This window comes from Homo sapiens, chromosome 5 (assembly GCF_000001405.40).
Source record: "Homo sapiens chromosome 5, GRCh38.p14 Primary Assembly".
Lineage (NCBI taxonomy): Eukaryota > Metazoa > Chordata > Mammalia > Primates > Hominidae > Homo > Homo sapiens.
In genome coordinates this window covers 76097194-76122370 of record NC_000005.10, presented here as the reverse complement: position 1 = coordinate 76122370, position 25177 = coordinate 76097194, and the positions used below count along the sequence as shown (strand labels likewise).

General features: G+C 39.5%; 1 protein-coding gene across 5 annotated transcripts in view, besides 1 other annotated feature; it reads right to left on the bottom strand.

Annotated features, from left to right (window-relative positions):
- SV2C (synaptic vesicle glycoprotein 2C) overlaps positions 1 to 25177 on the bottom strand; it is a 506476-nt gene that overhangs the window by 231569 nt on the left and 249730 nt on the right. The window lies entirely within an intron of this gene.
- Positions 18010 to 18210: a silencer, noted in NCBI's record as "peak5296 fragment used in MPRA reporter construct". NCBI's record gives its function as "represses an SCP1 promoter by STARR-seq MPRAs in K562 erythroleukemia cells {active_cell/tissue: K562}" and the evidence as "EXISTENCE:reporter gene assay evidence [ECO:0000049][PMID:32103011]".

The following is a 25177-nucleotide window of genomic DNA, read 5'->3' as shown; positions in this document are numbered from 1 at the left end:
GAGAAGGAAATAAAGGGTATTCAATTAGGAAAAGAGGAAGTCAAATTGTCCCTGTTTGCAGACGACATGATTGTATATCTAGAAAACCCCATTGTCTCAGCCCAAAATCTCCTTAAGCTGATAAGCAACTTCAGCAAAGTCTCAGGATACAAAATCAATGTACAAAAATTACAAGCATTCTTATACACCAATAACAGACAAACAGAGAGCCAAATTATGAGTGATCTCCCATTCACAGTTGCTTCAAAGAGAATAAATTACCTAGGAATCCAACTTACAAGGGATGTGAAGGACCTCTTCAAGGGGAACTACAAACCACTGCTCAATGAAATAAAAGAAGATACAAACAAATGGAAGAACATTCCATGCTCATGGGTAGGAAGAATCAATATCGTGAAAATGGCCATACTGCCCAAGGTAATTTATAGATTCAATGCCATCCCCATCAAGCTACCAATGTCTTTCTTCACAGAATTGGAAAAAAACTACTTTAAAGTTCATATGGAACCAAAAAAGAGCCTGCATCGCCAAGTCAATCCTAAGCCAAAAGAACAAAGCTGGAGGCATCACGCTACCTGACTTCAAACTATACTACAAGGCTACAGAAACCAAAACAGCATGGTACTGGTACCAAAACAGAGATATAGATCAATGGAACAGAGCAGAGCCCTCAGAAATAACGCCGCATATCTACAACTATCTGATCTTTGACAAACCTGAGAAAAACAAGCAATGGGGAAAGGATTCCCTATTTAATAAATGGTGCTGGGAAAACTGGCTAGCCATATGTAGAAAGCTGAAACTGGATCCCTTCCTTACACCTTATACAAAAATTAATTCAAGATGGATTAAAGACTTAAACGTTAGACCTGAAACCATAAAAACCCTAGAAGAAAACCTAGGCATTACCATTCAGGACATAGGCATGGGCAAGGACTTCATGTCTAAAACACCAAAAGCAATGGCAACAAAAGCCAAAATTGACAAATGGGATCTAATTAAACTAAAGAGCTTCTGCACAGGAAAAGAAACTACCATCAGAATGAACAGGCAACCTATGGGATGGGAGAAAATTTTTGCAACCTACTCATCTGACAAAGGGCTAATATCCAGAATCTACAATGAACTCCAACAAAGTTACAAGAAAAAAACAAACAACCCCATCAAAAAGTGGGCAAAGGATATGAACAGACACTTCTCAAAAGAAGACATTTATGCAGCCAAAAAAGACATGAAAAAATGCTCATCATCACTGGCCATCAGAGAAATGCAAATCAAAACCACAATGAGATACCATCTCACACCAGTTAGAATGGCAATCATTAAAAAGTCAGGAAACAACAGGTGCTGGAGAGGATGTGGAGAAATAGGAACACTTTTACACTGTTGGTGGGACTGTAAACTAGTTCAACCATTGTGGAAGTTAGTGTGGCGATTCCTCAGGGATCTAGAACTGGAAATACCATTTGACCCAGCCATCCCATTACTGGGTATATACCCAAAGGACTATAAATCATGCCGCTATAAAGACACATGCACACATATGTTTATTGTGGCACTATTCACAATAGCAAAGACTTGGAACCAACCCAAATGTCCAATGATGATAGACTGGATTAAGAAAATGTGGCACATATACACCATGGAATACTATGCAGCCATAAAAAATGATGAGTTCATGTCCTTTGTAGGGACATGGATGAAATTGGAAATCATCATTCTCAGTAAACTATCACAAGGACAAAAAACCAAACACCGCATGTTCTCACTCATAGATGGGAATTGAACAATGAGAACACATGGACACAGGAAGGGGAACATCACACACTGGGGACTGTTGTGGGGTGGGGGGAGGGGGGAGGGATAGCACTGGGATATACACCTAATGCTAAATGACGAGTTAATGGGTGCAGCATACCAGCATGGCACATGTATACATATGTAACTAACCTGCACATTGTGCACATGTACCCTAAAACTTAAAGTATAATAATAATAATAAAAAAAGAGAAAAAGAAAAAAAGAACAATTTTCAAAACAAAAAACAAAACAAAAAAAATCTTTGATGCGTAGCTGAAAAAAAAAAGAAATGTTATTTGACTTTTTCACTCTTATTTTTCATAAGTATATAGTCACGTTTGTGAGATGCTACATGATATACAATTATATCATTGCTCTGATGATTTATGAAATGTGTGCTGGTAGATTCTTTTTAAAATTTTTTGACACATTATAATTGTACACATTTATGGAGTACAATGTTGTCTTTTGATACATGTATACATTGTATAAGGATCAAAGCAGAATTGTTAGCATTCCATCACCTCATGCACTTAATATTTCTTTGTCATGAAAACATTCAAAAACCTCTCCTTTAGCTTTTTGAAATATACAATACCTTACTGTGCTTGTAGATTCTTGTGTTTAAGGAAGGTTCTCAGTTTTAGTTTCTACTACGGTAAATATCAATAGATATTACCCATAAAATAAAATCTCTTTCATCGTTAATAATTTTTAAGAGTGAAAAATGGGTTGTGAGACCAGACCAAAAAATTCAGAACAGCTCTTCAATAGGAATGTTTGCCTGCTTGGACCCTACATTGTGGAGCTTCCCCATAAGGCTGTTTTTTTGTTTTGTTTTGTTTTTTGTTTTTTGTTTTTTTTTCCCTATAGGGTTTTGAGTTTGCCTCTGCCAGAGCCCCATGGGGTCACAAACTTCTCAATTAGTTTTTCTGTCGGTGGCTCAATTCTGGATTTCCACATTGTACAGAAATACTGGCAGGCTCAGGGTTTCCATTTCAGGTGGGTGATATTTCCTACCTCTCTTTATGCAGGGCAGTTGTGGACTGTCCCTTCTTCCAGGTAGGAATGGGCAGTATGGCTCCCAGCTTGCCTTCTGACTATGTTTATGTCCTGGTCATAACTTGGAATGTGCAGTGTCAGCTCCCACACACTGCTATATCTTCCTTTTCCACTTCTGGCATCTGAGATGTTTTTCTTCTTTCTTTTGAAGTCAGTCATTTGTTATCCAACAGTACTTTGAAATATCCTCCACACATGTGCAATAGGGTGCAGGGTGGAAAGAGGGGGTTTAGCATGTGCTTCAGCCACCATCTTGACCCAGAGGTTGACATGTTTATAACCTGCTTTAATCACACACTTTATATTGAAAATGTCCTCATGCTTTAAAATATTCTTCTACCATTTTTTTCCTATGGTACACCATAATTCATTTAACCTGTCTTCTGTCATTGGGCATGTAGGCTGTTTATATCACCTTAGTGTTATTAATATGTGGTGATGCATACCCATATGGGAAGTCTTACTCAGATTTCCTGAGGTCAAAAGGAGCACATAGTTTTGATGTCTTTCCTTTTCTTTTCTTTTTAAGACAGGGTCTCGCTTTGTTGCCCAGGCTGGAGTACAGTGGCACGATCTTGGCTCACCACAACCTCTACCTCCTGGGTTCAAGCGATTCTTGTGCCTCAGCCTCCTGAGTAGCTGGGAATACAAGCATGTGCCACCATGCCTGGCTAACTTTTGGTATTTTTAGTAGAGATAGGGTTTCGCCATATTGGCCAGGCTGGTCTCGAACTCCTGTCCTCAAGTGATCCACCTACCTCAGCCTCCCAAAGTGCTGGGATTACAGGCGTGAGCCACTGTACCCAGCCAGTTTTGATTTTTTTAATATATAATATCATACTGCCCCTCAGAAAGGTTGTGACAATTTATAATTCCAGAAGCATGTAGAAAAGCCCCTATTTCCTTAGATTCTCACCTATACTGGAAAATATCAGTTGAGATTAGTTTAAAAAAAAGGTGTTTTATCATTTTTAGATACATTTGATTATTGGTGAAGTTGAACATGTCTTTTCTTGTGAAATCTTTTATCCTTTTCCCATTTTTGTATTGAGGTTTGTAGTAGATTGAACAGTGACCTCCAGAAGGATACCCTAACCTCCAGAACCTGTGAATGTGACCTTATATGGAAAAAGATATAAATATATTAAGGATTGTGAGATGAAATAATCGTAGATTATTCAGGTGGGCCCTATATCCAATGACAAGCATCCTTATAACAGACAGAAGAGAGAAGACACAGAGACAAAAGGAGAAGACCATGTGAAGATGGAGGCAGAAATTAGAGTTACACAGCCACAGGCTGAGGAGCACCTGGAGTCCCCAGAAGCTAGAAGAGCAAGGAGGGAGTCTCCTTAGAGAGAGTGCAGCTCTGCTCACATCTTAGTTTGGGACTCTGGCCTCCAGAACTGACAGAGAATAAATTTCTATATTTTAAGTCATCCAGTTTGTGGTAAATTGTTAGGCAGCCACAGAAAATTAATACAAGATCCTTTTCTTGTTGAATTTTAAGAGCTCTTCATATAGGAAGGATATAAACTCTTTGGTCATATATGTTGTAAATTGTTTCTCAGATGGCCTTATGCACAGTGTTTTTCACTGTGAAAAGCTATTAAACAATTTTTATATAGTCTATTTTAAGGTTTCTTTGTTCATGTTTTCTGCTTTGTTGTAAGTTTATTAAGGCCCTCCCGAACTTCCAAAACATTCATCTATATTCGTTCTAATTAACTTTAGTTTTATTGTTTAATGTTTAGTTCTGGAACTTTTTTGTTATATGAGGAAGGGATTTTTTTTTAAATAAATAACCGAATATCTCAGAAATAGTTATTAAAATGCCCATTTTATAAGAGAAAAAATTCCTACATGTATTAGTATCTGTTCAGTTTTTTTATTCTTCTGTTGCCTTTATACCATTTAGCTTTAATTTTTGTCACTTTGTTACATGTTTTAATCTCAGTGCATGTATCCTCCATGCTTCATCTTCTGCAAGTATTTATTGATTATCCTCATCTCCTTTTTCCTCCAAATAAACTTTAGAATTGCTTAGTTACTTTTCAAAGAAAAATTTCATTAGGATTTTGCTAAGTTTATAAATTAATTGCAGAAGTGAGTCATCTTATTTAGAAAGACATCTATTATTCAAGCTTTCGTTTATGTAACTCAGTGAAGTTTAGATGTTTTCTTCTTACAGTGCCAGTTATTTAATGAACAAAATACATACCTATATATAGAAAATATACATTTAAACATTTTAAAATTCATTTTATATTTGCATATAGTTTTCTCAAAACCATGATATATAATTGGCCACAAACTAGTTTCTGCCAGATCCATTGGTTGGGTCAGGAAATGTGCTGTCTCCTGCAGTAAAACATCAGGATTCATGGAGAGCAACTCACTGAATTCCATTTGTGGAACAGAGTGGATACACTACAAATAAGGGACAGACTTGCTTAAGGATAATTCAGAAAGACAAGGCTCTGAACCATGCTGACAGTCCTAGCTCACTTTTCCTCTCCATATCCTTCTGTAGATCTGGACCCATCTCGGGTAAAGTATGTACAGGAGCAACTTTGCAAGAAGAACTGGCAAGCGCACCCAGAGTGTCTTCATTCGAGCCCAGGAGGAGTGCAATACTCCTGGATTCCTGTCCCTAAGTAGTTACCAAGATCTCATAGCTCTTTGGGGGAAAGAAGATGCTCAAGGAGCATCAAAACAACCTGCATTATGAAGCATAATCAGCTACAACACTGTCGTATGCAATTCCTGCTCTTAAGTAACAGTGAGACATTCTCTTCCATCCAATGGCCAAAGGCATTCTGGCAGATGGTTTTCCCTGCATTAAACAGGCACCACCAGACTTGAAAGGGACCATCTGTGAATGTGGTAATGACCACTCAAAGTCAATGTGGTCAGTTCTGCCTCTTTCACTGGAACTTATGTGAGGGAAACTCAAAGAGAAACAAAGCCAGGACCTGAATTCCTTCCCAGAAGGCGAGGCTTAGGGAAGGCGGTGGGGACTGGGAAGAGCAGAAGGCAGAGGGGGGACTTCCCTCAACAATTCTGCTTCCCTCTCCTGGGTTTAAAAGATCCAATCACTCATTCAGGAAGTATTTATTCTGCACTTGTGATGTGGCAGGAACTCTTCTGGGAGCTAAAAGTCAGAGACTGAACAAAACACACAAAGTCCCTGATTGTAGGAAGCTTGCTTTCTTGAGGCAAGACAGATAGCAAAACAAAGAAATGCAACTCCATGTAGTGGTGAGTGCCACAGATAAAAATAAGGCAGGGTAAGGGGTTAGAGCAGCTCTGTCCCATAGAACATTCACAATGGTGGAAATTCTGTATCTGACTGTCCAATAAAAATACAGTAATTTAAATTCAAATGACCACACATGGCTAGAACCTACTCTGTTGGATGGTGCAGGGTTATAGGGTGCAGGAGGTGCTGCTCTTCTAGGAAGAGTGGCCAAGGTAGGAGACTGAGCAGAGGAAATTTAAAGAGAAGCCCAATTAAGGCTAGGGCATAGGCCATGCTGCTCCCCAGAGGCTCAGAGCTTTCCTGACATGGAAGACAGCAAGAGTAAAGGGGCTCAGGCAGAGAATGGCAATGAGGCCAAGTGGCTGAGCAGAGCCAGGGAGAGGGGGTCAAGGAAAGTGGCTGGGACATATCACCCAGGACTTTTGAGAGCCACAGTAAGGGCCTTGGGTTTTCTAAGAAAGATGGGTTTAGAGTAGGGGGAGGTGACAAGATCTAGAAGAATGTACCCTAGTGGAGCAAAAAACAAGAAGTTCTTTTAAAATCCTATTTACCTAGATATTGGCAATGCCTCCTTTTCTTTTACTAGATCTCATTATCCCTGCTCTTTCACATTTGTTATCCTTTTTATTCTGACTACGATCACCTTATAATGAGCATGGCATCTTTGAAAATAGGTAGCATTTATTAAATCTCATTAAAGACAGGTTTGAGGAAGGAGGACAGTCAGAGCGGAAGTTCAGCAGTGCAGACAGAGCAGTCAAAGAGAAAAATCCAGCTCTTCATTGTACCTGGTAGGTGCTTGATACGTATCTATGATCAACTACCCTTCTTCACCTCCACGTTCACTCAGTCTCTCACCAGAGCCATTACAAAATAAGACTAGTTTCCCTTTCCCCTGTACGCCTATCACTAAAAGTAGAAGAAAAAGACAATCTATAAATTAGATATTCCTATCTTGCATATTTAAAACTTGGCTATAGAGCCAAATACTGGTGTCAAGCAATTACTTAGACTCAAAGATGGAAAACTAAAAGCAGTCACGCCATCCATATACTACCTCAGTGGGACCAACGCGCGATTGTTCCTAAATTTATACAGAAACTCTACAACATCCCTTGAGTAAACAGGTATCCCAGACATATTAAAATGACCTAATTTAATAGACATAAACGGTGAGTTTGTTTATGAGTCAGACACATACTTGGGCTCCCATACTGCCTTTAGCACTTACTAGCTTTGTGACATTAAAATGGGAAATAACAGTGCTGTTGTTAAGATGAAATAACATCAAAAAGGCAAATCATGGTACGTGGTACCCATTCAGTAAATGCTAGTTTACTTGAATTTAAAAAGAATAAAAGAATGTAATTTATAAATATAATTCATCAGCCAGCAGTGATAATACTGGCAATTTCCTATTTTGAAAGGAAAGATGATTGTGAAACCTAAGTTGGTCATGCCTTTCCCTAGCCGGCGAGCACAGGCTGGGAGCCATGAAGCCACAGCACACTATTTCAGAAAAGGCTCACCCCCAGTGTTTACAGCTGTTGCTGAGCTACACACCCTGGGGTTTAGCCCACAAAAGAAAGCTCAAAGAAGAATGTCTACTTGTCTGCCTGTCTTTTCTGAGGGAATCAGGGCAATGTGATTAACATACTTGCAGAGTTTTAATGCAATTTAAAAGCATAGCCAGATTGATCAAGTCGGCCTCATTCCTATTACACTGATAACAGCAAAACACATTTTCCTGGACCTCAGGAAACTCTCATAGATGTCAACAAGAGGAGGAAACAGAGCCCCCAGAGCTTGCACTGTTCTCCCTTTACTGGCTAGAAATGTTGTAGTTTCTCTTTCTACTTTGTGTTTTACTTAGTAAATATTTCATTTTGCAAGGTTCTTAGGGTGGTGGCTATAAAAAGCAGCCGCCTTTGTTTATTCAGCCCTTCCTGAACACCATGATAAAATCCACTCCCATGGCATTATTCCCATGGTGATGGGGGATGGGGAGGGATGCTGTACTCGTTGTTTCCCTTGCTTGTGGCCTCTAGAAGGGAGGCATCAGGGACTTACTGAACATCTCCACCGGTGCTCTGTAGCTAAATGGGAGCACAGCTTTGAGACCAAGGTGTTTCAGTGGTGCACAAGTCCCCACAGAGCCGTCTGCAAAGCATGAGAACTGGAGCATTCATTTACTTAGCATGCAGTGTTCTGCCCAGGGTTCTGTTGGTACATAAGAGATGTGTGCTGAGAAAACGCCATTCGAGGCAGGTCTCTGCTGCCACAAGCCTGGTGTGTATGTGTATATATGTGTGTGTGTGTGTGTGTATGATTGTGGGGAGGAAAGTACAAATCTATGCGTTAGAAAGAGTAGCGTAAGAGATCTAGGTAGCCACTGAGAATGGGCATTCTTTCCTGTCTTTTCCAATAAAACCTTCTCTTTATTGTCATTGGGAGAGAGTTGCTAAACTAATTCACAAACAACATGTAAATAAATGGCTAAGGAGTTCCTTTCCCCGAGGTATTTCTCTCTTAATTCCTTAGTCCAAGAAAATGGGTAAATTGTGGAATTTCAAGCTCAGTAGTTGGGTTTATAAGTTAGATATTGGGGGACAAGGACTTCTTGGCTTAAATCCTCCCAAGTGGACTACTGAATATTCCACCAATGTTTGAGAACTGATCTGGCCTCCAAAGCAACAGTCACAAGGGAAGTCAGAATTCATCCATCCACCCTATCAGACTACAAGTGCCTAAGGGAAGGGACCATGTTTTAGCTCATCTCATATTCTTCATAGCCAAGACAATCCTGGACATTCATTCATTTACTCATTCTTCACACAGCTATTTTGCACCTGCTCCACAGAAGGGTGTAAACCATCCTTAGATGCTATGCATACAAGAACTAAAGGTACAGCCCTTGCCAGCAACGTATCTTCCGTTTACTGGGGCCACCCAGCAGACAAACAGACAATTATATTATGATGTGATAAGAGCAATGTGCTGGCACATGGTATTATGATATTATGGAGTGAGGTCGAAGCTGAGCTGGCCAGGCAAAAGGTGGACAAGTAGAGGTATTCACTGATTAAGGGCTTGCTTATTAAAAGACATAGTAAGAATTCCATGCGTATAGGTATAGGCTGAAATTTTTTAAAAACACAAACACGTACTGAGAGGCTTTTGCAAACTTATACTTGTGCTAGATGCAAAACGAACAAAAATAAAAACAAAAACAGATTCCAATGCCTTCTTCAACTGTCATACCTCTGGGCCAGTACTGTAACTCCACCTTGGCCTTACTTGCTAAACTTAAAATTCTAAGTTTCTTTCTTTAGCTTTTTTGTGTCTTATCTCCCTGACATTGTTATCCACTATAAATTAGTGCCATGGAGGAAGGTATAAAGGCACTTTTGTGACTGACAGAAATACATGATTGACATCTGATTACATACAACAGTATTTTCCAAAATTCATTATGGGAAACAATTTTAAAGTGTTCCTAAAAAAGAAGGTTTATGGCCAAATATGTTGAGGAAACACTTGTCACTTTCTCACCACTTCCACTACTCTTTACCTGGTCTAAGCCACCATCACGTGTCACCTGAACACTACCAGGGCCTCCCTCTTGGCATTCCTCATTCTACCTTTGTCCCTCAGAGTCCCTTCTCCACAGAGCAGCCAGAAAAAACTCACCAAAGGTGTGGCAGGAAACCTCACTCCCCTACTGAAAACCTTCAGGGTCCTCCCCCCCATCCCCTTGGCGCACAAGGCCTCGCCTGCCTCCTCTCTGGTCTCGCCAGCCAGACTGGCCTCTGAGAGGCCAAACACTTCCTGCTTCCAGCCCTTTGCACTTGCTGTTCTCCTGTGTTGCAATTATCTCCCCCCAGAGAATAGAGGCTGGCCTCCCTCCTGCACTTCCTTTTGGTGTTCTTTCAAATGTCACCTCTACATAGAGCCCTTGACCACACCACCTAAGAGTGCCAGTGCCTCACATCACCATGCCCTGATCCTTTATGCCATTTTTCTTATCATCTCTCACCATCTGACAACATACAACATATTTTGTGTTTGTTCATTGCCTGACTCTCCTTGCCAATCATAAACTTCATGAGAAAAGGAACTCTTCCTATTTTGTTATTAGCTAAATTCTAATACCTAGCAGAATGCCTGATACATTCTAAAATATTCATTAAACAAATGACTGAATAAAACACTAAGTTAAGCAAAGTTAAAACTTTTTTGCAGGCCTTCTCAGAGCCTTTGATATGCAAATGTGGATTGTGACCTTTTAAGAAAGGAAATGGGTGGCATCACCCAAATTTATCTGACCTGAAAGCACTTTATTGATAAAGCACCTTACAGAACAAGCATTCCCGGGACAAGTGTCCAGAAACCAGGGATGACAAATATCAGGGTGAAAACATTTTTCTGGTGTTGCCAACAGGAGAAGTTTCAAGAAAGACCAAGGCCTTCTCTTGCCAACAAACATGACTCACACGATGCAGGAACAGGAGAAATGCCACGGCCTCTCAGTATAATACTGAGAAAGTAAATTAACTTTGATATTTCCTGGTCTAATCCTGGGGGGGCAAATTAGCTTGATGCTGTCACTGAGTAGTGAGCTGTTTCTGCCACGGCCAGTACGGTCTGGAGAAAGACGCCTGCCTTTGTCTTCCAGTCTCCATCGGCAGCAATGGAATCTAATTATAACAGACCCATAGGTCACTCTCTAAATGGAAATGCACTGCTGAAAATATTCAGGGTGGAGGGAGAAGGACAAAATACATTTCCTCGCTGGAAAAGTGCCTCACTTTACCTTCTTTCAATTTCTCTCACATAATTCACATGAATTATTTAAAAATATTCATCATTAATAACCACCTTTGCTTTAGTCATAAGAAAATCATACATGATTCCTTAAGACAGGCAGGTCTAGATATAAAAGAAAGAAAGAGTTAGTGAAGAAACTTATAATTCAAAGGGCATTAAAAAAATAACTCCCAGAGCAGACAGATCTGATAGATTCTGCTTCCATTTAGAGGATCTTTTAGAATCCGTCCCCACTTCTCCTCCCCCAAAAAAGGTTCCTCACCTGGTGCATAACACAGAGATTCTAATATAGGCAATATTCAACTCCCAGCCCTTGGATTTTCAGGGATATGCATTCATGGGACATCATCTGCATTGCACATTTATACTTATAAAGTAATTTAACATGTTTTGTCTCACTTGATCCTCATAAGTACCTAGGGTAGATCTTGTAGAAAAAATAATTGAGATGGAGAGATGCATTGCGACTGGCCCAGAGTCACACAGAGCCGGTTCTAGCAAATGTGAACCCATATCTAAGATTTCTGGCTCTGAATCTTGTTCTCTCTCAGCTGCTGAGCCCTGGGGAACTCCCAACACTCATGTTCTTTGCACCACTGTGGCAAGCAGGCAACACTGCATCAGCTTTCCAATATGTTTCATCCCATCCTGGTTTCAGAATTCAGTTTCTAATTTCTCGATAAAATGTCCGTAAGGAGACAAATTGCGAACAACAGAGCTATGCCGTGAGGCTGGTGCCCATGGGCTGCTAGGCTGGCTCCTGTGCCCAGAACTCACTTCTGCACACCAACCTTGCAGCCTCTGTGATCAAATGTGTGCTTCAGCACAATTACTTCAATTCAGTGACTCATGAGACTTCTCTCGATTGTCCGACCACAAATGTTAACTCCAGAAACCCCGAGGGTCTGCTGAATTAGAAAAATAGCTCTTTCAGGAACGTGCCTTTGCTGGAGAGAGTGCCCTGCCTACTAACTTCATATGAAAATGCAGCAATTCCACCCAAGTAGATTCTTACCAAAGACATTCATGCCCCTACTTCCTGCAGTCACAGAGGAGGTACCAAGTGATACTGTCCACCATCCAAGCCATCCACTTCCCAACGAGCACAACAAATCACACTCCATGCCCTTGACTTCAGGTAAAAGTTTTTTTTTCTGCTGCCTCTGTTTCTTTCTCTGCTGCCTCTGCCCCCACCAGCCCTTCTCATTGTTTTGACATAACCCCATAGCTTCTCCCCTATTCAGCAGGGTTCCTTTCCTAAAGATTTCAAAAAATATAGAAGTCAGTCCTTTGGGGTATGCATGTTAGAAAACACGATTTGATTCAGAGGGACACCACTTACAGTTGTTAGGTGACTAAAAATACTGTGGATGGCCATACCTCTGAAGAACTGGACTGGTCATAATGAAATGTAACCACTAATTGTTATTCTATTTCTATGGAAAATCAGAGTTGACTTAAGTCATTGTGGATTTAAATGACTTTCCTAGACATAAACCACTGTATTAGTTCCCCAGTACTCCTTTTCCAAGTAAAAATATACCACAAACTGGATGGCCTAAAACAATAGAAATAGATTGTCTCACCTATCCTGGAGGCTAAAAGTCTGAAATGAAGGTGTCAGCAGAGCCACGTTCCCTCTGGCACCTGTAGAGAACCCTTTCTTGCCTCTTCCCAGCTTCCCACGGTGGCCAGCAAGCCTTGGCATTCCTCGGCTTGTAGGGGCATCTTTCCAGTCTCTGCCTCAGTTTCTCCCTATGTGTCTGTGCCAAATTTCTCTCTTTTCATAAGGACACCAGTCATATTAGTGCCCACCCCAATGACCTTAACTTGATTGCATCTGCAAAAACCTTACTTCCAAACAAGGGCACATTCACACGTATGGGAGATTAGGACTTTAACATTTCTTTTCGGGGACACATTTTAACCCGTAACACCCATCCTACTAAAGAACTGACTGTATATGAAATGAACCCACATTTGATTATACTTAAGAAGAATTATAACATATTTCATTGGTGTTTTCCCTATAATCCTTCCCCCTCAAATTTTTAAGTGAGGTTTGCAGATACTTCAAATCTCAGCTAGATACTGTTCATTGGACATAGTAAATGGCACTATTCTTGTAATCTCAAGAGATTGAGCCCTTTGCAACTCTTCTGATATTAGACTAGAAAGAAGAAAGATAGAATATTTATGAGCACACATGAACAATCCTATCACTTTCCTTTGCTCTTTTCATTCCTTCTCATTCACTGAAACTTTCAACATATTTTAAAGATATATGTAGTAATACAGTAAGCAGTTAAGGCTTGGAAATTAGTCCTCTAACACAAATTCTTCTTCTGAATCTCCTCCTCCAAGTGTTTAAAAGCAAAAAGGATGGTTCTATAATTATAAATTCACAAAGATCATCAAAAGAAAAAGAAAGTCACTCACATCTCTCGTTGGCCAGATATTGGCTGGGGACCTTGGGCTATTCACATCATCTCTAACACTAACAGGACAATGTTGAGATACAAGAAAACACCACCAGCAGATAGCTCAAAAGTTAGTCAACTTCTTTGTCTACATGACGCCAAACAACCAAATTATATTTTTTTCACCACAGTTAATGAAACTAACATGTTATCGCCATTTGCTTTAGGGTGGGACTCACATTTGATCCATTTGATCCCCAGGTCAAGCAGCAAAAGATAATTTAAGGCTTTAGCTTGAAACCAAAACATGATCTTTTATATCCTAAAAGGTTAAATGAAGTTAAGGTTATCCAATGAAAAAAAATTTTTGGCCTCGATGGAATACGGGTATTTATTTTTTGCATAAGAGAAAGGTATTCTCCCCTCTAATATGGTGAAGAATACAATTTTAAGAACACCTGTGCTTAAATATTTTATGTTAAAATATAGAAATTTAAAGACTTCCTTAGAGCAGCTTCTGCAAAAGTTGTGCATGTCTCTAATACTCGGACTCTCTGTTCCCATATTTCTACATTTGCCTTTCTGTATGACTCTTCCAAATTCTTTTATCTCATTCCGTTTCTTGTGTCCTCTTTTATCCCTAGAGAACGCACATCACTCCAATTTTATCTCTTTTAACTGGCCACATTATATAAGTTAACTTTACTATTCTCACATTATTGTTTAACTACCTATCTTTGCTATTACATTTTGAAAAGCAAGAACTTTAAAAAATGCTTTCTAAATACTCCAAAAAAATCCTTAAGTTGCTTTCATATTACATAATCTTTTGTTGATTCCCCACTCTCTGTCAATCACAGGTCAGTGGTCCTAAAATAAGGTGCCCTATGCTCCATGTAGACCAACATCCAAAAAAGTATCCTGAAAAACAAATATATGCAACATTTGCCTACTGTGCTGTATGGACAAAATGTGATTGACCTTTTCCCAAAATGTGATTTTTGCATACTTAGGTGCAATGCAAAGTTTAAGAAGATCTGTAGATATTTTACCGACTTCAAGAATTAAACATTATTTTAAAATGACAAATCTTAACAAAACCTCATGAAAATAAATTCTGTTAATAAACTTGCTTTTGTTTTTTTTTGAAATAGGGTCTTCATCTGTTGCCCAGGCTGGATTGCAGTAGTGTGATCTTGGCTCACTGCAACCTCGACTCATGGGTTTGAGTGATTCTCCTGCCTCAACCTCCTGAGTAGCTGGGACTAGAGGCACACACCACCATGTCTGGCTAATTTTTCATATTTTTGGTAGAGACGGTTTCACCATGTTGTTCTCGAACTCCTGACCTCAAGTGATCCGCCTGCCTTGGCCTCCCAAACTGCTAGGATTACAGGCGTGAGCCACCATGTCCAGCCAAGACGATTGCCTTTTTTGTGGGTCTTCAAAGATACTTTATGTAACTGCTGTAATCAATTCTTAACTGTCACAGTATCAAATGAAAATGTAATTAATAATAATCTGAAAACTGCAAGGTATTATTTCTTATTATACATAAATGCATATATGCAAAATCTAACTCACGAGCTAGTCAGTATTTCATGGCAGCATTTCCTAAACCGTGTGAGGTATATTGTAGGTCAGAGAAGTATTAACAGGTATTATTGTACACTAAACATTTAGAATTCACAAAAGCAACAAGCTCTCATCACTCTCAAATTGTTGGAATTAAACAAAAAATTTATAATCCTCATATTTGGAAACACTCTGTTGCTCCTAAATTAGAATATTTTGACTTGTTGTTAATCACCTCATTTTTGGATTGCTTACTGATTTTCTTGAGAAGTCTAATATTGGAATTGTATATTTTGCCATTGGATTATTTGGTTATTCCTGGCAGTCTTTAATTCCTTTGTATACTCATTTTTGTGGTCTACTTTACCTCAACTGCATAACACATTTCTTGAGTTTCTATTTATGATTTGTGAATACGTTCATTCTTTTAACACTCACGAGATATAAACTGCTGTGTGTCAGGCACTATTCTGGGCACTTGGGATGCAACAATGACAAGCAAGACCCTGCCTTGTGGAGTTTACTTGCTAGCATGGGGAGAAAGACAATGAACAATAAGCACACTAAAATTAGCCACATGTTTATTCGAAGATGATATATGCTATGAAAAAAAAGAGTAAGGCAAGGGGGATTGTGAGTAGGGAGGGGATAGGTTGTGTGATAATTAGAGAATTCAGGGTAGGCCTCATAGAGATGAGATTCAGGCAATGACTTAAAGAAGGAAAGAGACATCCAAGAGGATCTATGTAGTAGGAATGTTCCAGGCAGAGAAAACAAAACAAAATCCCTGAGTCAGGGGCATGCTTGATGTATTAAAGAAACAGGAAGGAGGCCAGTGTGGTTGGAACAGAGTAATGAAAGAGAAGAGCAGAAGATGAGCCCAGAAATGTAAGAAGGGGTCATAGGATATAAAGCCCTGTGTACATCTGTAAGGACTTCGGCTTTTACTGTGAGTATGCAGAGGAGTCACTGCAGGGATTTGCACAGAGAAGGGACATGATCTGACTTCTTTTAAGAGATTGCTCTGGTTGCTATGCTCAGGATGAACTCCAGGAGGACAAAAGTAGAAGCAGAGAGGTATGTGGGAGGCTACCTCAGTAATTCAGGTAGTTCAGATGGGAGGGGGCACGGGATAGTAGACAGCAGTGGGAGTGGCAAGAAGTGGTTACATTCTGGTTATAATTTGAAGGCAGAGGCACAAGCACTTCCTGATGCGGTACACAAGAGGAAGAGAGGAAGGGAAAGGATGTATTTTCTATCAACTCAGATGGGGTAGGGTAGAGAAGCAGCAGGTTTTGGTGGGGGCAGGTGCAGAGAAGGCATCAAGAGTTCAGCTTTTAGGCATATTAAATTTAAGCTATTGATTAGACATCCAATGGAGATGCTGAGTATGTAGCTGAAGTTCAGGGGATAGAGGTCTGGGCCAAACATATGCATTTGGGAGTGAACAGCATATAGATGGAGTTTGAAGCCACAAGAATGGATGAGATCACCAAGACTGTTAGTGTAAGATGAGAAGGGAGGAGAGGTGAAGAGAAGATTGCTCCCCGGATCACAGGAAAGCTAAGAGATTGGGGAGAAGAGCGTAAACCAGCAAAGAAGATTGAGGAGGTACCTAGGTGGCAGGAGGAAGACCAAGAGACTGCAATTTCACTTGAAATTAATGGTGAAAGACTATCAGGGAGGGTGTGTATATGTCAGCATCCAGCTGGGAGACTGAACGCAGATAATTTAATGTAAATAATTATTAAGTATGAAGTTGTTAGCAAGGTCACAAAAAGGGCAAAAAGAGAACTGTAAAATATCACAAAGGTAGCAACTGCAAGGAAGAAAAACTATAACCTCTAGGGCTGGGGGAGCAAAGGTATGAGTTTTAATTATTAAATAAACTTAGAGAAAGGGCCCTACAGAGCTGAAACTCAGACTTCTGAGAAGCAGGTGCTACTCAACTGGTTTGAGGGACCGAGAGAGAACCCCTGGGTTCCTTTGTTTAAAAAAGGGTGCTAGCTATCTGGGGCTTGTGTCTGTGAGAGGGCTATGATGAGGCAGTATCCATTTCCTAAGGCTGCCCCACAAATTACCACAATCCTCATGACTTAAAGCAACAGAAATGTGTCCTCTGATAGTGTGGAAGCTAGAAGCCTGAAATCAAGGCGTTGGTGGTGGCAGGGCAATGCTCCCTCTGGAGGCTTTGAGGAGGAATCTATTCCCTGCCTCTCCTAACTTCTGGTGGTTGCCAGCAATCCCTGGCATTTCTTGACTTGAAGATGTATCATTCCAATCTCTGCCTCTGTCTTCACATAACCTTCTTCTAAGGACACCTTGGATTTACGGCCCACCTTCATCCAGTATGACCTCATCTTAACTACTTTCATCTGCAAAGATTCTATTTCCAAATGATATCACATTCTAAGGTTCTGGGAGAACATGACTTTTTGGAGGAAATTATTCAACCCATAGAGACAGCTTCTGCAACTGTGGGAAAAAACTGCAAACGAGAATCATCTGCTGAAATAGGAAGAAACTGCCTCTTCTGGGGTGAAGAAGTTTTTCTAAGGCATGACACCCACAACAACCGCATGTAGACAAAAGCCCATGAAAAGAGAATGAGAAAGAGCAGGTCCCTTCTTCCTCCTCCAGCTTGCCAGTCTCTCTCATCTCCCTCTAGTGTCTCCTATTGGCAGAGCCTACCATGGAGCCATCTCAGGAATATAGTCTGCAGAGTCCCATCTCTAGTATCGCAAACAGAATGTAGAAAGGTAGGTTAGGAGCTAGAGAGTATGTTAATAATTAGCACAAGAAGGAAGTGATTAACTATGTCAGAGGTTGCTGATAAAGCTCTATTCACTAGTATCTATTGAAGAAACGTTTTTGCAGCCAGGCACAGTGGCACACACCTGTAGTCCCAGCTCCTTGGGAGACCAAGGCAGAAGGATTACTTGAGCCCAGGAATTTGAGGCTGCTGTGTGCCATTATCAGGCCTCTGAATAGCCACTGCATTCCAGCCTGGCCAACATAGCAAGACCTTGTCTCTTAAAAAAGTTGCTGATAAATATAGAAATATGAGAACTGTGAATTGTCCCCTGAATTTAGCTTCAGTTGTTCCCTGATCAAATAAGTTGAGGAAATTCTGTTGTAGTGCGTTTTGTTGGACTGGCCAGGCATTTCAGCACTTTGGCCAGCTCCCTTCCCGTGGGCCTTGGCCAATACTGACATTAGAACAGTTAACAACTGTCACATACAGGCAGGCATCTACAAAATGCTCATAGTGCTACCTACAGCTATCATATATCCTGTCACTCCTCTCTGCTGACTTTTATTCTGATGTTAGCAAATGAGTTAAAGTCACCTAAGAAATGAACATATTTCTAGGGCCTTCCATAGACTACATAGAATAAAGTTAGTCATGATGTATATACTTTTTATACATTTCTGGATTCAATTTGCTAGTATTTTCCTGAGAGTATTTGTGTCTATGTTCATGAGGGATATTGGTCTGTAGCTTTGTTTTCTTGAAATATCTTTGTATGGTTTTAGTATTAAAGTAACACTGTCCTCATAAAATGAGTTGGAAAGTGTATCCTCTTTTGCTATATTCTAAAAGAGCTTGTGTAAAATAGATATTATTTCATCTTTAAATGTTTAGCAGAATTCATCAGAAAACACCTTAAAATTGTACCAATCTCCTAGAACTGTGAGGTTTAAATAAGATAATGCATACAAACAGTCTAGGTGCCCTAACAGCACCCAGGCATTCAATAAATATTTGCTATTATTAGTCTATTAATCAAACTTAATATAAGTAACTAGCATATTGCTATAAGAGCATACAACTGTCTGGTGAAGCTATGGCTGTCTTTATGTGCCATAGGCTGACATGCAAACCCATCTAGGTTGGCCAGAAGTGGTAATGGTGAAAACTCCAGAGATTAACATAATCTGAAGGAGAATTTTGGGTTTCTTTGCACAATCATTATATTCCCTTCTAAGACACATAGTGAGGGGACATTAATATTTAAGATAATTTCAGTATTATACTACTTGAAATATTTTGTTTTATAAATTATTGTTTAAATTTCTATGTGCTCAGGAAAAACAACGCTATTTACTACAGTCTTTAAATTAGGAATAAGCTCAGATGCAGGTGAATAATACATCAAAGTTTCTCTCTCTCTCTCCCTGCTTTGCATTTCAGTGACTACAAAAAGGTATGAGGACTAAATACATACTGGTAAATAATGAATCAAAGGTGCTACAACTTTAGAGACCCATTAAACAAAATACTAAATATTTCAGCAGTTTTAATTATGCATTATTGCAATCTCCATTTTTTTTTACACATTCCTGTATGGTCTTATGGACTGATACTCTAACAGAATGGGGAGAGGAAGCAGTGACACATATCAGGTGCTGTAAGAAAAAGCACTTTGTCAACGTCCAATAGAATATTAATGAACAAAACTAATAAAAAAACAAAATCTAGCTCTTCTAAATGTTAAGGCTGCCTCTGGATATAAACAAGTGTCAAGCCTTGGCAGTTCTAGGTTGGTGATAATCACAGAAGCACATCAATGAAAGAGACTACTAAAGTCAGGGGCATGTTTTTCTGAGTGATTAATAACGTATATTTATTCAACATCTCTCAACAAGGCTACAAGTAAACCATCTAAGCCAAACGAGTCTTTATAAGGCTCTCACATGGCTCTGCAGAACACACAGATTCCCTTGGTATATGGGCAGAACTTGGGTTTTTAAGCCTGACAGGTATAAAAGCTCTATTTAAAACTCTGTGACCTTGAGCAAGTAATATGTGTTCTCTGGGATTATGCCCTTTCCTTTCTAAAATGCTGATTCATTCCCTCTATAGTGATTGTGCCAAGCCCTGTGTCACCTCCTGGGTTCACCAGAGTGAACCTTCAAAATACAGACAAGAGAATGAGCATTCACAACATAGAGTAATTGCTACTGGATAACACAACCCACTGGGAGGGTGCACATTGGAAGGGTGCCTAAGGTGGACCTTAGAAGACCAGGAATGACTTCCCTAAGGAAATCATCTTTAGTTGAGTCCTGAAGGATGAGTGAGAGTTAGCTATGTGATCTGGTGGGTGGGTGGGAGGTGGAGAGTCTCCAGGCAGGCATAAAGGATCAGAGGAGGCAGAGGAGAGCATGATGCCATCAAGGACTTGAGGGAGTGCACTGTGGTTCTGGTAAAGAATTGCTAATTTATATTAAGGGAAGAAACAGCCACTGGTGATTTTAAACACAAGAACAGACATGGTGTTTTGGTGATTTTAAACACAAGAACAGACATGGTGCTTTTGTGTTTTACAAAGGTCATTCAGGTAGGATAATGGTATGAAGATGGACAAAACTGAAGTCCAAAGATCCTGTTAGGAAGTTGTTATATTATTCCAAGTGAGAGATGACAGTGACCTGGACTGAGGGTGTGATAAAAACTAAATATCAAGTGCCCAGCAGCACAGCAGCATGTGTTGGGAACCTTGCAAATGTTAGTTGCCTTCTTTCCTCTTCCCCTTCTACTCTGTCTCAATGTCCTCATAATCATGCAGTAAAGCCTCTCTCCAATGAATAAATTTACCAAAAAAAGTTCTTCATAGCAGAGACATTCATGTGCCAATAGGAGAAACATATATTCTATTTTACCTCTATTTTTGGCCACCTTTGGATGAAATTTCTAATAAATGTTGATGTAAAAAACTATGAGTATGTCTGAGTTTCTTATAATGAATTTTATAATAATTATTAGCAGTCACTGTCCCTGACATCAACTGCTGCACTGTCTTCATAGCTTTTAAGTACTGTTTGAAAGTTCTTCTGATAGTTTCATTTTTATTTGCTAATTGTCCATCTCAACCCCTCTAGACTGTAAACTCCATGAGAACAGGCACTTTGTCTTCTAGGTTCTACCTCCCACAGCTGGGGCAGTGCCTAGCACTCAAGAGACATGATAAATACATATGGGCTAGCCACTTCACAGAATGAATGAAGAACAGAATTTCATCTCTACAAAGTAATGGAAATTGGCCACTCCTAACTGGTATTTCTACCTCAAGGCTGTTCCTGACCTAAGCCACTGTACACCTGATTTCAAATTAATCTTTCTAAATGTGTGGTTCCGATAAAGGTAACTTCTGCTGAAATTGAGCCCAAACTGCTGCACCTGACCTTCACAGAGTCCCACCCACCCTTCAGCTCAATCTCCCACCACTGCCTGTGTTTCTGTCCTCTCTCCCAGACCAAGAGGATCACTCGCCACTCCCCAAATCACCCAGGGTGCTCCACCTCTGCACCCCCATTCACAAGATTCCCTCTCCTCATACATCCTGCATCTCCCTCTTTTGGCCTGATAAAACTTACTGCACTTTAGGGAGAATGTCAAAAGCCATTTTCTAAATCAGTGGTTATTAAACGAGGGCAATTCTGCACTCCCCCCAACCCCCAGCCTTGGGGACGTGTGGAAATATTTGGAAACATTTTTGGTTGTGACAATGCAGGGGAAAATGCTACTGTCATCTACTAGGTAGATGCCAAGGCTGTCATAAGCCATCTTACGATGCACAGGACAGCCTCTGTCAACAAAGAATTATCTGGTCCAAAATGTCAGTAGTGCTGAGGTTGAGAAACCCTACCTCGAGCAAACACCAGACTGTTGCCTTCAAACCACCATGGAGTTCTGGACTTCTTTTACTGAATCCTCACTCTGTTGCACAGGGCTGATAGACAACTTGTCTGAGCTCTCCCTCACAGGTATGCATGCTTATTGAGATCCCACCCACCTCAGTTCTCCTAATTAGCATAGCATATCCCTTGCACAAGGGAGATGGTCAATTTGTTGATTGATTGAAATTTCTATTTCATTTTTTAAAATATTTCAGTTATCTCCTAATGTCTATTTTCTTCAATCCTGTTAAGAAGAGAAAGTAGGCATTATCTTTTGGCATATGCCCTTTAAATACTTAAAGACTGTTATTAAATCACTAGTGTGACTTTTTATCTCTAGAGAAATTCCAGCACCTTTTATGATCCCATAGGAAAGAGTGCTCTTTAAGGGCAATAACTGATGCTAAGTTGAATTAAATGTATAATTTAATTCAAACGTAGAAAAAAGTTGAATTTGATGCTAGTTTTCTTACATACTGTGAAGTTGCATTTATTTCATCTAGCATAGCTGTAGCTTATGAGCTAATAAGCAAATAAGTCGCCAAACTGGACCTCCAGTTGACCCAAAGGCAGCTTTACACAAACCAGAACTAAAAAAAGGTCATGATTTCTCTAAAGCTCCTCCTTTTCCTATTATCCTAATATTTAACAAAGCTAAAAAGAATTTGCTAATTTTATGGCTAATTGATACAATAAATGCTTACTGAGCATCTTACAAATAAAATATTTTGGCCAATTTGCTGACATGGCTGTACATTCAGAGACTTTGGGCATGTTCTAAAAATTCAAATAAGAGCCAGAATTTACATCTAACCACAACTCTCAGTGTTACCACTTCTGAGACATGAGAAATCTGAGCCTAAAAAATACACTCTCAGAGACACATATTAGTTCTTAGAATTAAACTTGAAATGGTGGATGAGAAATTCAGCTCGGATGAAGAGAAGGAAAACCTGGTATGATCAGAAAATACAATATGAATCCTTCTTACTGTTAATAGAAGGTTAAGCTGAACTACCTTGAACATAAACCCAAATGTCCTACAGGCTAAGAATGAAACCAATAGTTAGCCTGAGAAGATGTTATGTTGAGAAGCTAGAGATCCTGATTCCCAGTGCTGTCAGTCAAAGACACAGTGAAAACTGCTATGAAAGAGAATTCTGTGTTGTCATATGTCAGCCAGACTAAAAATCAGTGGTTGGTTATCCTGAGAGAGAAGGAAACCCTTATAAGCAGAAAAGTACAGTGTGATCAGAGAACCCTGAGAAGGCATTTAACGATGTCATCATTTCCTGAGTGAAGATGTTACAACTCATCACTAGCAGCAACAGGACATGAAGACAAGACACACACACACACACACACACACACACACGAGCAAAAGAAAGCACTAATATGGCAAACAGGAAGTACAGTAAAAATATTTCAAAAACATCACTAGGAGTCTCAGGAGCTCAGGTATACATTTTATAGCACTTCAATCTTAGGCAAAGATCATACAATTTTTAAATTTTGTAGTACCCAATTTCAAAATCGTCTAGTAAGAAAAAAAATTCTAAGCCAGCAGATCACATACAGAATGAACTGTTATTTTCCATCATATCTGGGACTTTTATTAAGTGAAATATGATGTTACACCAACTGTCTGACATGATAATCAACATAGCAACTCATAGGGTAATAAGGTAATAATATATAATATGGTAATAAGGAAGTACATAATGCCCCAAAGCTGGGAGCAAATAACTTAGTTCTTCATTGCAAAGCATCCCTTTAATCTTGGCTCAGATTCTCCCCATCAGTGGGCAATTTAGGCAGCGCTCCAATGCCTCCACAACTTCTAGGGCCAGCAGGTTTTGCTGATGTCAGCCCGTAAGAAGAATTGCATCATTCTCCTGATATTAAATAAAGGTACAGGTATAAGATGACCTGGATTCATGGTCTCACATTTAATTATATTAATCACTGGCTTTTCTCCTCAGGCTTTCTGGGAAGTGGATGTTAACCTTTACAGGTTTATTGTTTGATTATTTGTTGTTTTTGTTTTGTTTTGTTTGTTCATTTTGCATTTACTGCTGTTGAATATAATCAAACTTTGTGCACACACATCTGTATGCCAAAAGGCAGGCATGATTATTACGTATCAGGTTCAGAGTGATGAATGTTTGGGAAAACAATTAGCTGTAATGTATTTATCAATAAATGAGGATAGCTTTGCCCCGACAACAATGTCTTCTGCATGCCGCAGATAGAGTGTGATGCCTTTATCAATACTCCAGCTTTAGACAAAAAGGCCCACTGAGCAGCATCTGTTATTTAGTCCTGGGTCACTCTTTCAATGTCTTCTGATTTATTTCTTCTGAATTGCCCTTAAATCAGTTTCATTTAATAGGAAAATATAATATCCTTGAGCTTATGGACAAAGATTGGTCACCAGGCCTTCAGCCCCTCTTTTGTAAGAGTCTCTTCAGGAAGCAAGTCAGGAGGCTCCCACTCTTATACACAGAAGACTCTGGCAGGGGACTCCCACAGGAAACACTGACTGACAGTGACCTCTAAGAATAACAGAATTTAAAAAATAGTATTAGAAAGAAACCACCAGATTCCTACTGGGCATCTCCCACAGTTGTTGAAGCAGCCATCTTTGAACACCTGTTTCTTTTCTCCCTAAGCTTCCCCTGTTCCTACTCATTACTAATCAAAATTAGAGCTGCACAGTAAAAAACTCAGGACCTTCACAGGACAAGCCTTCGGACTGCCTGGGTTTCAGGAGAGCCTCAGAGGCAGAATTATGGTAAACGCTTGCACATTTTCTCCAGATCACCCATCTCTGTAGGTAGGCCCAGCTCACACACTACCCTCTCTCAACTACTGCCAGAGAGAGAATAATGTGACTGCCTTCACAGAAAGAACATGTTCCCTTCAGACACAATATTAAGATAGAAGAGCTCTCTGTATTATATCCTTCTCCTTTCCCACCTCCAAATATGTCAGCTTACTACAATGTAGTGCTAAAATATAGAGGATTTAGAGATGTTCAAAAGCACCTAGTAATAACACATATTTAGCAATGCCTTATTAAATAATATTCATAGATATTATAATCTACCTCTACACATAAATTTAAAATATCAGCATAATGCCTTAAGGTCAAATAGAAGAAATAATAACAAATTATGTTTTAAAATATGTATATGTTCCAGTGTAACAACTCTCAAATACAAAATGAAGACATTGGATGCTAATATCTAAGTGTAGAATAATCACAAATGCAACAAATGCCAATGTAGACAAATACAGGTGTGCTTATTGGCAACTTAATGTCACAAATAGGTTTGTCACCAGTGGCAATGTGATATGCAGAAATGATGAACAACTCTCAGTAAGACTTTAAACACAACAAAATATAGTCTTCCCTTGATTTACAAGTAGTTTTACTCCTAAAAAATTTACAACATATCAAAATTGTGCAAAAGATACTGTGTTTATATATAAAACAGAATACAATTCTAGGCTTAAATTATTAGAAACAGATTTTTTTACCTAA